At 39.8% G+C, this 12,745-nt stretch overlaps 1 protein-coding gene across 2 annotated transcripts in view; it reads left to right on the top strand.

Annotated features, from left to right (window-relative positions):
* The window catches only part of TNFSF4 (TNF superfamily member 4), a 277,864-nt gene that overhangs the window by 228,718 nt on the left and 36,401 nt on the right, over positions 1-12,745 (top strand). The window lies entirely within an intron of this gene.

Genomic DNA, 12,745 nt, shown 5'->3' with positions numbered 1-12,745 from the left:
TTGTATGCTATGCCATGCACATTGCCTGCTTTGCCTCACTTAACCCTTACATAAAGCCTTGACAAGAAAACTTCCAACTTTAAGAGGAGAAAAATCAAGGTTTAGAGAAATTAAGTGACTTGCTCAAGGGTCATACAACTAGTAAATAGTGGCCCTAGGATTAGGATTCAGCAACCTTAACCTCTATGCTACTGTGTAAAGAAAAATATCACATAAAATGAGTTAGCCAAGTGACCAAGGCCAAGTTGCATAACCTCTCTGTGCTTTAGTTTCCTTGTCTATAAAATGAGTAAAAGAAAATGACTCTTGGATAATTATTGTGGTGCTTATATGAGGAGCTGTGCAAAACTGAGCTCTTCATTTGCAAACTGCCTCTCCCTATCTGCTCCTCTTTGGTCTTCCCCTTAATCTCAGTCAATGGCACCACCACACAGTTACTCAGCCCAATGATGTACAAGTTATCGTTGATGCCTTAATTTCCATTACTTACCGTATCTAATCCAGTAAGTCTTATTGCTCTGCCTCCAAAGTATATCCCAGATCTGATAATTCGTCACCCTCTTTTGCCATGGCCTAGAAGTCAAGGCACTTTACATCTTATCTGGGCCACTTTACATCTTATCTGAGAGTCCTTTAACTCATCTCTCTGCTTTAACTCCTATTCCATTGTGGTCTGTTTTGCCACGCAAAAGCCAACTGGCTTTTAAAAACATGAATCTGAAATCACTCTCCTAATTGAAACCTTCCAATGGCTTTCCGTAAAATTCATGATCCAAAGGCTCCATTCAGTCTAGCCCCTGCCTACTTGTTAATGCTATGGCCTATTACTTAGTTGTCCTCACACCTGCTTTACTCTGCTGTAGCCACTTTCTTTTCTTCAGGCATGCCAAAGTTGTTTTTGTCTTAGGCTTTCAGACTTACCAATACCAGCCCTACTGCCTAGAATGTTCTTCCTTCCCCTAGCTCTTTCCCTGACTGACCCATGTGAAGGCTTTGCTCCACTATCATCTCCACAGAGAGGCCTTTGATGGCCCAATCAAAGTGATGCCCCTTCTTGTCCCTGTCTATTTCATTACTCTGTGGGTTTTGGGTTTGTTTATTTTATTTTTTTTGGTGAGTGTGAGTATGTGGGTCACAGCATTTAACCACTTTTTAATTGTCTTCGTCAGTTCAGGCAGCTATAACAGAATCCTATAGTTTGGGTGGCTTAAACAACATTTATATTTCATAGTTCTGGAGAACTAGGAAGTTCAATATCAAGGTGCCAGAAGATTCATTGTCTGGTGAGGGCCTTCGTCCAGATTTGTAGATAGCCACCTTCTTGCTGTATCCTCACATGGCAGAGGGATCATCTTTCTTGTGTCTTTTCTAGTAAGGGCACTAAGTTCATCATGGCACCCCCACCCTCATGACCTAATTACATACCAAAGCCTCCAAATACCATCACATTGGGGATTAAGGCTTCCACATATGAATTTTTGGAGAACATAAATATTCAGTCCATAACACTAAGATTATTCATTTTTCTGTGCATACAGTTATTGTCTATTTTCTCCAACAGGAATATAAACTCTAAGAGAGTAGGCACTGTATTTGCTCTTTAGGAGGAACTGAATAAATAGTTTTTAGTAATGAAAAAATGTGCAAATGAGCAAAGTAAGCAAAATTCAAAGCTTGTGTGCAGTACCTACCTATGTTTAAAACAGGTTAATTTCCTTTATCTTTTAACTGCTCCTTGAGTTTTTGCTAAGAGAAATATTCTGAGCCCTGAGATCCAATTCAGTTTTATCTGGGGGCTCAGAGTAGCAGAAGAAATTTTGCTTTTTTTTAAAAAAAACTTTATTTTCATCAAGAGAACGATATTTGAAGGTTGCTGAGTTTCTACTGCAAAGAAACCACTTTGAATAAAATCCCTTTGTTTTGGGAAGGTGAATAGATTTTTTTTTTAGTCTTTACAATTTTTTTTTATTTTAATAGGTTTTTGGGGAACAGGTTTTGTTTGGTTACATGGATAAGTTCTGTAGTGGCAATTTCTGAGACTTTGGTGCACCCATCACCCGAGCAGTGTACGCTGTACCCAATGTTTAGTCTTTTATCCCTCAGCCCCTCCCACCATTTCCCTTGAGTCCTCAAAGTCCATTGTATCATTCTTATGCCATTGCATCCTCAAAGCTTAGCTCCCACTTATGAGCAAGAACATACAATGTTTGGTTTTCCATTCCTGGGTTAGTTCACTTATAATAATGGCCTCTAATTTCATCCAGATTGCTGCAAATGCCATTATTTCATTCATTTTTATGGCTGAGTAGTATTGCATGGTGTGTGTGTGTGTGTGTGTGTGTGTGTATCACAATTTCTTTATCCACTTGTTGATTGATGGGCATTTGAGCTGGTTCCATATTTTTGCAGTTGTGAATTGTGCTGCTATAAACATGTGTGTCCAAGTGTCTTTTTCATATAATGACTTCTTTTCCTGTGGGGAGATACCCAGTAGTGAGATTGTTGGATCAAATGGTAGTTCTACTTTTAGTTCTTTACGGAATCTCTACTAGTTTACATTCCCACCAGCAGTGTAAAAGTGTCCCCTTTTCACTACATTCAAGCCAACAAAACAGATGATCTTTAAAGGTAAATAGTCACTAATTTCCAGGGAAAACCAGGTGTTGTGAAATGGTCTACAAGCAAGTATTTCTTACTAGTCTCTTGAGGATTATATTTAAGTCAATAAAAACCTCGAGATAACCACCCTTATGCAGTGATAAAGAATTTAACCAATGGAAAAGTGTTCAAAAACTCCTGTGTTAGCTAGCAGGCTTCTGAATGTACTGCTGTGGTCCACAGAGAAGGCTAGAGAAGGTAGCAAGGAGATGCTGTATCAGCTACTACAGCCTTAAAACAAAGTAGGTGTCTCTTTGGACTTTAAAATTGTTCCTATGAAGCTTATTTTATTTTTGTTTAATCAAATAAACAAGACAGTTTTTCCATGAAAAAAAAAGAATTTGAATATAATACAATTGGCAATTGGCTCTCATCCTCTGCCCAACCCTATTCCCAAGGGAAATGATGCAGCTAAAGTTCTTTTGGTGGGAGTGGGAAGGTGTGAGGAGGTTAGAAAGGGACTAATTTGTGGTTACTTGGGACTTTCTCAGTTTAGTATGTAATCTATTACATATATTTTATGTTTCTTATGGCTTACATAAGTTGTTAGTATTAACCAATCTCCTATACAAGTAATAAAAGAAAATGAATACACTTTTCTGTCTTTTATTTTTCTAAGCAGTAACTAAGAGATCAATGAAAAAAAAATTTATATATATTTGCTAAGTTGGCAATAACCAAATGCCACATTTTACACATTATAGAGGAGCTTCGATGTAATGTAAGGGTTAGAAGTAGGGAATTTTTTTTTTTTAAATTTTAGGGGAATTTTGTTCCTCATATCTGGGGCAGGGATGGAAGACTGGGTCATAGTAACTGAAGAGAGAGTGTGAAAGGAGAGGGGGCTTCTGAGTATAAGGAGTCTTGGGAATTTTTTCATTGATGGGCACTGAGTTGGCTTTCCCACTGCCATCTGAAAGCTGTGAGGAAGTGGGCGGTGGCCCTTGAAATGGTGTACTGAGCTCTTGGGTGCTGAGACTAGTCATTTCTAGTACCCGTGGAGGGGACCTAACCCACAGCACATAGGAACAAGCAAATAGAGAGGTCAGTCTGGAATATCAAAGTGATTAGATCATGGGAGGGACCTGAAGATTCAGGAAGAACAACAGTTCAGAGAGAGAACAGCTGACAGAGGTGACAAGCATCAGCCTGGACCAATTTGTGGAGCATATGAGTGCTCCCTGGTATTCCTAGAAATACCTGGGGAACCACACTGAGAGGTGTGACGGCATCATCCTACCATGTGTGTTAGGGTCTATCTAGCCCAGCACTGTCCAATACAAATATCACAAGGTAATTCAAAAATTTCAGCTGGGAATGGTGGTTCACGCCTATAATCCCAACACTTTGGCAGGCTGAGGCGGGAGGATTGCTTGAGGTCAGGAGTTCAAGATCAGCCTGGGCAACATAGGGAGACCCTGTCCCTACAAAGAATAAAAAAAATTAGCTGTACATGGTGGCACGTTCCTGTGTCCCAGCTACTCAGGAGGCTGAGGTGGGAGGACGCTTAAGCCCAGGAGTTCAAGGCTGCAGTGAGTCGTGATTATGCCACTCCAGCCTGGGCAACAGAGTGAGACCTTGTCTCAGAAAATTTTGTTTTGTAGCAGTCATATCAAAAAAATTGAAAGAAACAGATAAAATTAATTGTAATAGTGTTTTATTTACCATAATAGATCCAAAATATTATCATTTAGATATGTGGCACTAGCCTAGTCATTTGCTGGTAAAGCAGCTCTCTGAAAAAATTTATAATGTTTACCAATTTCCATGGTATAAATACTCTCATCATGGTCAATTTTAAGCTACAATAGTGATAACTAACAATTATTGAATGCTAATATGTATCAGGCACGGTAGAAGGTGTGTGCCTTCTACCTATATTTATTTATCTATCATTTGTGGATGACTAAATGAAAGATAGGAGCTAAATAACTTGCTCAATTAGAAATAGTAATGCTTTTACTTGCATACAGATCTGACTTTTGCCCAGAGTGTCAAAAATAAAATCAAGGTAGGATCAGAGAACAGTGGGGAGCTGAAGGGGCAGAAGGAAAGAAGGAACTCTGAATAAAACTTCACCCCACAATCCAGTCTATTCTGTTCATGTGTTGAGCACAGCTATGGATTAGTGCTGGAATAAGCAGGGGAATATGAAGATGAATGGGTCTTGGAGTTTCTCCACCCAGGGGAGACAAGCACATACATGCATAACCCTGACACAGGGCAGACTATGGTCTGTGCTAAGAGAAGAGTGTAATTATTCTTCCCCAAACTGAGTCCGGAGCAGACGGGAGGTGGTGTGGTAAGAAACAGGGTTGAACACTGGGGAGAGGGATTTTTGGGACCTGGAGCTTGGGCAATTCCTATAAGGACATCCTTTGGGACTTCTGGGTCAGTGATGAAGCAGAAAGTTGAGATCTCTTCCAAATATAACCAGGGCGAATTTGAGCCAACATAGGAAGAATAAGGGTAAGAACAGCAGAAAACACCAGGGAACATGGCAGACAGTAGGAAGGAAAGGTCTACAGTAATTCCCTGAGCCAATTTGTAGAAAGCTGAAGAGGTTTTTGTTTGTTTGTTTGTTTTTCATGTGTGTGTTTGTGTATGTGTGAGATTTGCAGAAAGGACATACCCCAAAGACTTCTGAGCACAGCTTAAGGAGGCAGAAAGGGGTGAACAAACTGTATACAGTGGTAATGAGTGTGGAGATAGGGAATACTACCTCCAAAAAGAGAGAGAGAGAAAATCATGGCTCATTGCTATACTTCTCTCCATCCACCCTCAGTCTCTGATCATAAGGAACCATTCATTTGGTTCTTTATGTGGCAGGGCACTATTTTGAAATTAATAATTTATTTTTTTCCCTGGCTATTTCCTTTTATTTCCTGGCCCCATTTAGTTAGCTTGCCTATGTTCATTACCTTTGGGGGAAGGAATGTGGTGGCACAAAGCAGAAAAAAAGATTCTCTTGACTTTAGAGTTTCAAAAGCTCTGTCCCAAAGGGGAGCAGAAAATGTTCGATGAGTAAGTGGAAAGCTTTCTGGCCCCCTGATGGTGTAAAGATCCCTGGGCTGGAGAAAGAAGGGAATTAAGGGGATGAATTGGGTGCATAGATGAGGGTAGATGCCCATGTAAGGGGATTCCTACCCTGCTGATGCCTAGGGTGGGGATGGGGCTCAGCCAAAACTCATGTATGTTTTAAGATGTAAGATGTTGTTATGGAAGGAAGTTTCTAGTGTCTTGTCAGGGATCTGCGCTTAGTCTTCTGAGTCTTTATGAACTCACTCTTTCTGTTAATAATTTAACTAAGTGCTTTTCAAATTTCATGTGGATGCAAATCTTTTTAAAATCTGGATTTTGATTTGATAGGTCTGGGGTGGGGCCTGGGATTCTGCTTTTCTAACAAGCTCCTGAGTGACGTGGATGCAGCCATTTGTGGACACAGACCACAGACCACACTTATCGCAATTATTGTGCACCTTCTATTTGTAAGACAGTGCTAATGGGTGTAAACATTGTCCCATGTAAACCCTATAGCAACCCCAAGAGGTAAATCCCATTGAGGATTTGAGGCAATTTTAAAACTAGAGCTTACTGGGGTTCAGTGTCTCATGCTATGATTGGGATAAAGATGTTGATGATTGCTGATTGCACCTGAAGAAAGCTTTAAGAGATGTTTAATGCAACATATGTCAGTGAAACAATAAACACTAAAAAGGCTTACAGGTTTTTTGTTTGTTTGTTTTGCAACACCATAACATTTGCATAGGCCTACTCTGTCTAGACATGCTGCTTAGTGTATTACGTAGACTATTTTATTCTAGCTCCAAAATAGGAAAGACATTTAAGAATATTCTTATAAGGACATCGAAGGTAACAGGATAAAATTCTTGTTATCATAGAGAATGATAGGTAAAATTCTTGTTACCACAGAGGATAAAATTCATGTTATCACAGAAGAAGTTAGAGAAACTTCAAGAAGCAATGCTCTTTTGGTACAATTTTATAATTTCCAGCCATCTTAGTCTGCTTGGGCTGCCATAAGACACCCATAATGTGGGTGCTTAAACAACAATAATTTATTTTCTCACAGTTCTGGAGGCTGGAACTCTGGATCAGTGTGCCAACATGGTTGGGTTCTGGTGAGGGTTCTTTTCTTGGCTTGCAGACGGCCACCTTCTTGCTGTGTCCTCACTTGGTGGAGAGAGAGATGGCTCAAGGTCTCTGGTGTCTTTTCTTCTAAAGGCCCTAAATTCCATCAGACCAGGGCCCTGCCCTCATGACTCGACTACTTTCCAAAGGCTCCATCTCCAAATACAATCACATTGGAGGTAGGGCTTCAACATATGAATTTGGGGTCGGGGGTTGCAGGAACACAAACATTCAGGCCATAACACCAGCAATTGAGTGGTCTGGTACAGTTAAACAAGCAGGCAAACCCAGATGATCTTGGTTTAACTCCCAATGCTGTTGTGCTTAGGTTACCCTGAGATTCTGGTTCCTTGTGTTAAAGATGTGTTAGTAATAACCAGGCAGAGTGTTCGCAGGAGGATTGAATGAAAGAAAGCTTTTGTGCCTGACACAGAGAAAGCACACAATAAATGGAAGATGTACTCCCATTCATCAATAATCTGAAAAGAAAAGATCTAATTTAAGTTTGTTCAACCCGTGGCCTGTGGTCCACATGTGGCCCAGGACGGCTTTCAGTGCAGCCCAACACAAACTTATAAACTTTCTTAAAACATTATGAGACATTTTTGCAATTCTTTTTTTTAGCTCATTAGCTATCATTAGTGTTATTGTATTGTATGGTAGCCCAAGATAATTCTTCTTCTTCCAGTGTTGCCAGAGAAGCCAAAAGATTGAACACCCTTGATCGAATTGACAGGAAGAAGTTATTTTTTTCTTACTGGATTAGTAGCTGTGTGCATTTGGTGTATTAATATCTGCTTAGATAAACTTTACTGGGCATCTAGGCCAGATGCAGAACTTATATTTCATTTAAAAAGATCAGTAGTATCACACACAGTTTAAGAACAGGCTCCAGAGTAAACAAAGCTGGATTCGGATACCAGCTCTGCCATGTACTAAGTGTGTGACCTTGGCCAAGTTAGTTCATCTCTCTAAGCCTCAGTTCGTCTCAACTGTAAAATGGGGAGAAAATAGTACCCGCTTCATAGGGTGGTTGCTGAGGAGTGGAGAGGTGTTTCAGACAGGACAATAAACATATGCAAAAACTCAGAGAGTGAATATTGTATTGCCTCATTCCTAATCAATTATGAGCATGGATGTATCCACATCAGGGTTTCTCCACCTCAGCACTCTTGACATTTTAGGCTGATAGTCCTTTGTTGTTGATGGCGGTGAGGTATTGTCTGAGTGGAATGTTTATTAACATCTCCAGCCTCTATCCACTAGATACTAGTGGCACCCTACCCCCAATCCAGATAAACAAAAATGTCTCTAAATATTTTCAAATGACCCCTAGGGGGCAAATCTACCCTTAGTTGAGAAACATAGGTTTATGCTAATTCTAATTTATACTCAGTTGGATTTATTCTGAAAAGAAGAGGGGATTAATGTCTCATATATTCAGTATAGATTTCCTTTTGGAATGATTTCTATTTAAAGAAAATTATCTTTTGAAGATGAATTAAGTTTATCTTGATTGTGTTGGTGGTTTTGTGAGTGTATACAATTGTGAAAGCTCATCTAATTGTACACTTTAAATAATGCAATTTATTGTCTAAAATTATATTTTAATAAAGTTGATTTTTTTGAAAAAGAAAATTGCTTATATCCTATTGTGAGTTGAAAAATGTACTTATAGATTTTTACATGTTCTTGTCGTTGCACACATATTTTAAATACGCAATTTAAAATGTAATTTTTTGTGTGTCAAAAGTCTGTCTAGATATTTGCTTTCTATAATGGTGTGGCACATCATGGGTACAGTTCCATTCAGAGAAAAATTTCAGTAGCTGTTTTGTGCCACTAAGTTTTAGAATCTGTCATCATGCCCTAAAATAACTGCCAGTGGTCAAGATTTAAAAAAAAACAAAACTAAGCAACATGAAGAATGAAAGGGAAAATTGGCATCAGAACAAAAGGGGTTGACAAGTGAGAGACTAGTGAGTCTGAAACCCAAATGGAATATCATCACAGGAGTTCACATTTGTATTTGAACTAATGGTGTGCATCCGGTTTCAATGAAAAGTGTACATTTCAGGTTTGCTAATCTTTCACCTCTAAGATCAAAGTCCAGCTACCAGGAGACTTCTGTATTTAATAGTGCTGTTTTCAGTATTGTTTAGACTCTCATTATTTCTGGTCCTGTGAACAGTGTGTTTCAGCTCTATTGCAGGCAAATTCAATTTGGCCCTCTGAGAGTACAATATAGGACTCCTAACCTCAGGAACTTGCAGCATCATGGGGGAGACTGAAATAGATTTATTTATTTATGTATATTTTTGAAATTTTATTTTTATTTTATTTTTTATTTAAAAAAGTTTTAAATTAATTAAAAAATTGTGAATACATAGTAGGTATATGTATTTATGGGGTATGTAAGATATTTTGATACAGGCATGTAATGTGAAATAAGTCCATCATGGAGAATGGGATATCCATCCCCTCAAGCATTTATCCTTTGAGTTACAAGCAATCCAATTACATTCTTTAACTTATTTAAAAATATACAATTAAGTTATTATTGACTATAGTCACCCTATTGTGCTACCAAATAGTAGGTCTTTTGATTCTTTCTTTTTTTTTTTTTTGTACCCACTAACCATCCCCACCTCCTCCCTCCTCCCCGTGAAATAGATTTAAAGAATTACAAGATGAAACAGAGCATAATAAATGCTCTCAACACAGAGGTGAAAACAGCTGCATTCTTCTGGGAAATCCGGGTGAGGCTTCCTATCATAGAAAGTAATGGTGAAAGAGACCTTCAGTGGTTGTTTAGGGAGATTCACAAGTCTGGCTCTTATGGACTATTTTAGAAATATGGCTTCAAAAGGCATCACTCCAAACCTACTGCTATGGTTTCGATGTTTGTCCCCTCCAAGCCTTATGTTGAAATTTGAGCTCCAGTGTTGGAAGTGGGGCCTAATGGGAAGTGTTTGGGTCATGAAAGCAGGTCTCTCATGAATAGATTAATGCCCTCCTTTTGGGGTGAGTGAGTTCTCACTGTATTTGTTCCTGCAAGAGCTGGTTGTTAAAGAGAGCCTGGCACCTCTCTCTTGTATCTTGCTTTCTCTCTTACCATGTGATATCTCCACACTCTAGCTCTCTTTTACCTTCCACTATGAGTAGAAGCACCATGAGGCCCTCACAAGATGCAAATGTTCAACCTTGAATGTTGCAGCCGTCAGAATTGTGAGCCAAATAAACCTTTTTTTCCTTACAAGTTACCCAGCCTTGTGTATTCCTTTACAGCAACACAAAATAGACTAAGACACCCAAGGAATCAGAATTTCTAGAGTGAAGGTATTAGGAGTCAGAATCATTAAAAAGTTCTCCTAGTGATTCAGATGATAAACTAGGCTTTGGGAGCCACTGATCCTATCAACAATCTACTCAATGCTAGAATTCTCTGAACAGAATTTCTTCAAGGTTTTGTTTAGTACTTCTAGAACACAGCAAGCTCACTACCTCACAGGACAGCCCTTCATGGGGAATGTGTAACGTGTAGGGTTTTGATAGTCAGAGGTGGAGGGTAAGGGTGTTTGAGGCAGAGTGAATATTAGAAATAATCAGAAAATAGAGGGAGATAAGTTTGGAAGGAAAACTTGGAACTCCTGCAGGAGGAAACCTGTGCCAGGATGAAGGGCTTGGAGAGCTGACTGCAGGAGCTCAAGTGAGGAGTAATAAGAGTTTGGATTAGAAGCAATAGGAATGGCAAAGAGGAGGAAAGAAAAAACTGCATTGCAGGGCTAGCCTACAAAGCTTGATGACTGGGAACGAGGATGATTCAAAGTTGATTCTTGGATTTTGAGGTCCTGGAGTACAAAAACATTAACCAGGACAGTGACATTAGGATCAGGAATAGGTTGAAAAGGCAGATTACAAATCAGATTTTGACATTTGAAAATGCATTTGTTTCTGTCACCTCCGACATCACTCTATCACTTGTCCCAGGGCAGAGTTTATCTATGACTCCCTGTGTATGCTCAGAGATTGGCACTGAGTACACTCTCAGAATGTCTGGTGAATGAAGAGCCACTGTAAGTGTCTTCTCCATTTGTGTCCTCCCTGCTTTAGTTTAGGACCTTATTTCTCACTTGAATCATTGCAGACTCAAGGTCCCTAGCTTATACCACTGTCTTTGTGTGTTTTAGAACAAGGCACCCCCTGCGGGTTTATAAATTAGAAAAAGAGCCTGCATTTAAATGAGTACAGCCCTTTGTTCAGGGCTTAGGAAGCAAAGTTCACCTTTGTGGGATGATAAACATATCCCTTCCTGCAGGAGGAAACTTCCTGTACCAGGATGGAGGGCTTAGAGAGCTGACTGCAGAGGTGGAATTTTAGATCTCACTCATTCCCTCAGCTGGCACAGAGCACCCTGGAAATGTCTCCCAGTTGGCCAACTTGATCCTGCCTTGCCATATCTGTCTCTTTTCCCCCCCCTAGAATTATTTCCTGAAGTACCTGCCATTTCTATTTCCCTCAGTCAGAGTGATTTTTTTTGTAATTCTAAAATGTAATCATATCATATCATATCACATTCTGCTTCAAACCTCTCCATGTTTCTCCAGTAGCTGCAGCATGAAGTCCAAAGTCCTTAACTTGTAACAAAAGTCCATTTACGACAGATTCTTCTGAGCCTCTTCTCCAGCAGCCACTCTCCTTCACCATCTTCCTCTTCAGCTGTAGTTCCCTGAACTGACACTGCACAAACAGGCTCCACTGCCCTCACTCCTGGCCCAACAGGCACTGCCCCTCCCCAGTGCCCCAGATGGCCAGACTGCTTCTCGTTTCTCCCAGATCAAGGAAGCTGTTCCTGTCCTAATTCCAGTGTAGATTAGCACCTGTCCCCCTGCACCCTTCCCTTCTGCACTGATACCTAGGACCCAGAACTTTCCAGGTTGTGGAGATTCCGCTTTCCTGTCTGTGACCTCCCTGAGGACTAAAAATGTGTTTTGTTTGTGTCTTTTCCTCTAGTATTTGGCTCAGTCTTGTTGAATGGACAAATGAAAATCTGACTTAGAGATAAATGAAAAATGTAGATTTTTTTTATCACCAAAAAACCCCAAAACCAAAACCCAGACACCAAAAAATCCAAACAACAACAAAACCCTCAAACCAAAGAAAAAAAAAAAACCCAAATGTTTTTTGCTTCTTTCTGAACATGAGGTATCTTGTGAGTGGTCAAAGCCCTTTTCTTTTCCATATTTTCTGTAGTCTTGAAATGGCTATTCATTTAGGAGGTTAATAGTCTATGGGAAGATAATTACTTTGGTTTATTTTACATCCTGTGGCTTTATTTTAAGGCTGATTTGCTCTGGTGTGCTTATGTATTTAATATTTGTGAGATACTTTAAGAAAAATTGCCACCAGGCTTGGTGGCTGATGCCTATAAACCCAGTGCTTTGGGAGGCCAAGGCAGGAGGATTGCTTGAGGCTAGGCATTTGTGACCAGCCTGGGAAACATAGGGAGTCTCTACAAGAAATTTTAAAAGAAATTAGCCAGACCTGGTGTTGCGTGTCTATAGTCCTAGCTACTTGGGAGGCTGAGGCAGGAGGATCGCTCAAGCCCAGGAGTTCCGGATTACAGTGAGCTATGATTGTGCTACTCTACTCCAGCCTGGGCAACAGAGTGAGACCCTGTCTCTAAAATAAATAAATAAATGCAAATGAAAAAAATTGCCCATAGATTTAGTAACGTATTTGACCCCTTTAAAAACAATTAAGCTTTATTTTTTGAAAAACGTTTTGAAGATGGAGGACTCTGCTTATGTGCCTGAGACTGAAAGGTCAGCAATGATAACTCTAATAGTGATTTCATTTGTTCAAATGCTAGACTAGCCCAGTGATGAACTTTGGAATGCCTAGATAGTCTATCAGAAATCTGTGCCTGAAACTT

Source organism: Homo sapiens, chromosome 1 (assembly GCF_000001405.40).
Source record: "Homo sapiens chromosome 1, GRCh38.p14 Primary Assembly".
NCBI classification, from domain to species: Eukaryota; Metazoa; Chordata; class Mammalia; order Primates; family Hominidae; genus Homo; species Homo sapiens.
This window is presented reverse-complemented; position numbering and strand designations above follow the sequence as displayed.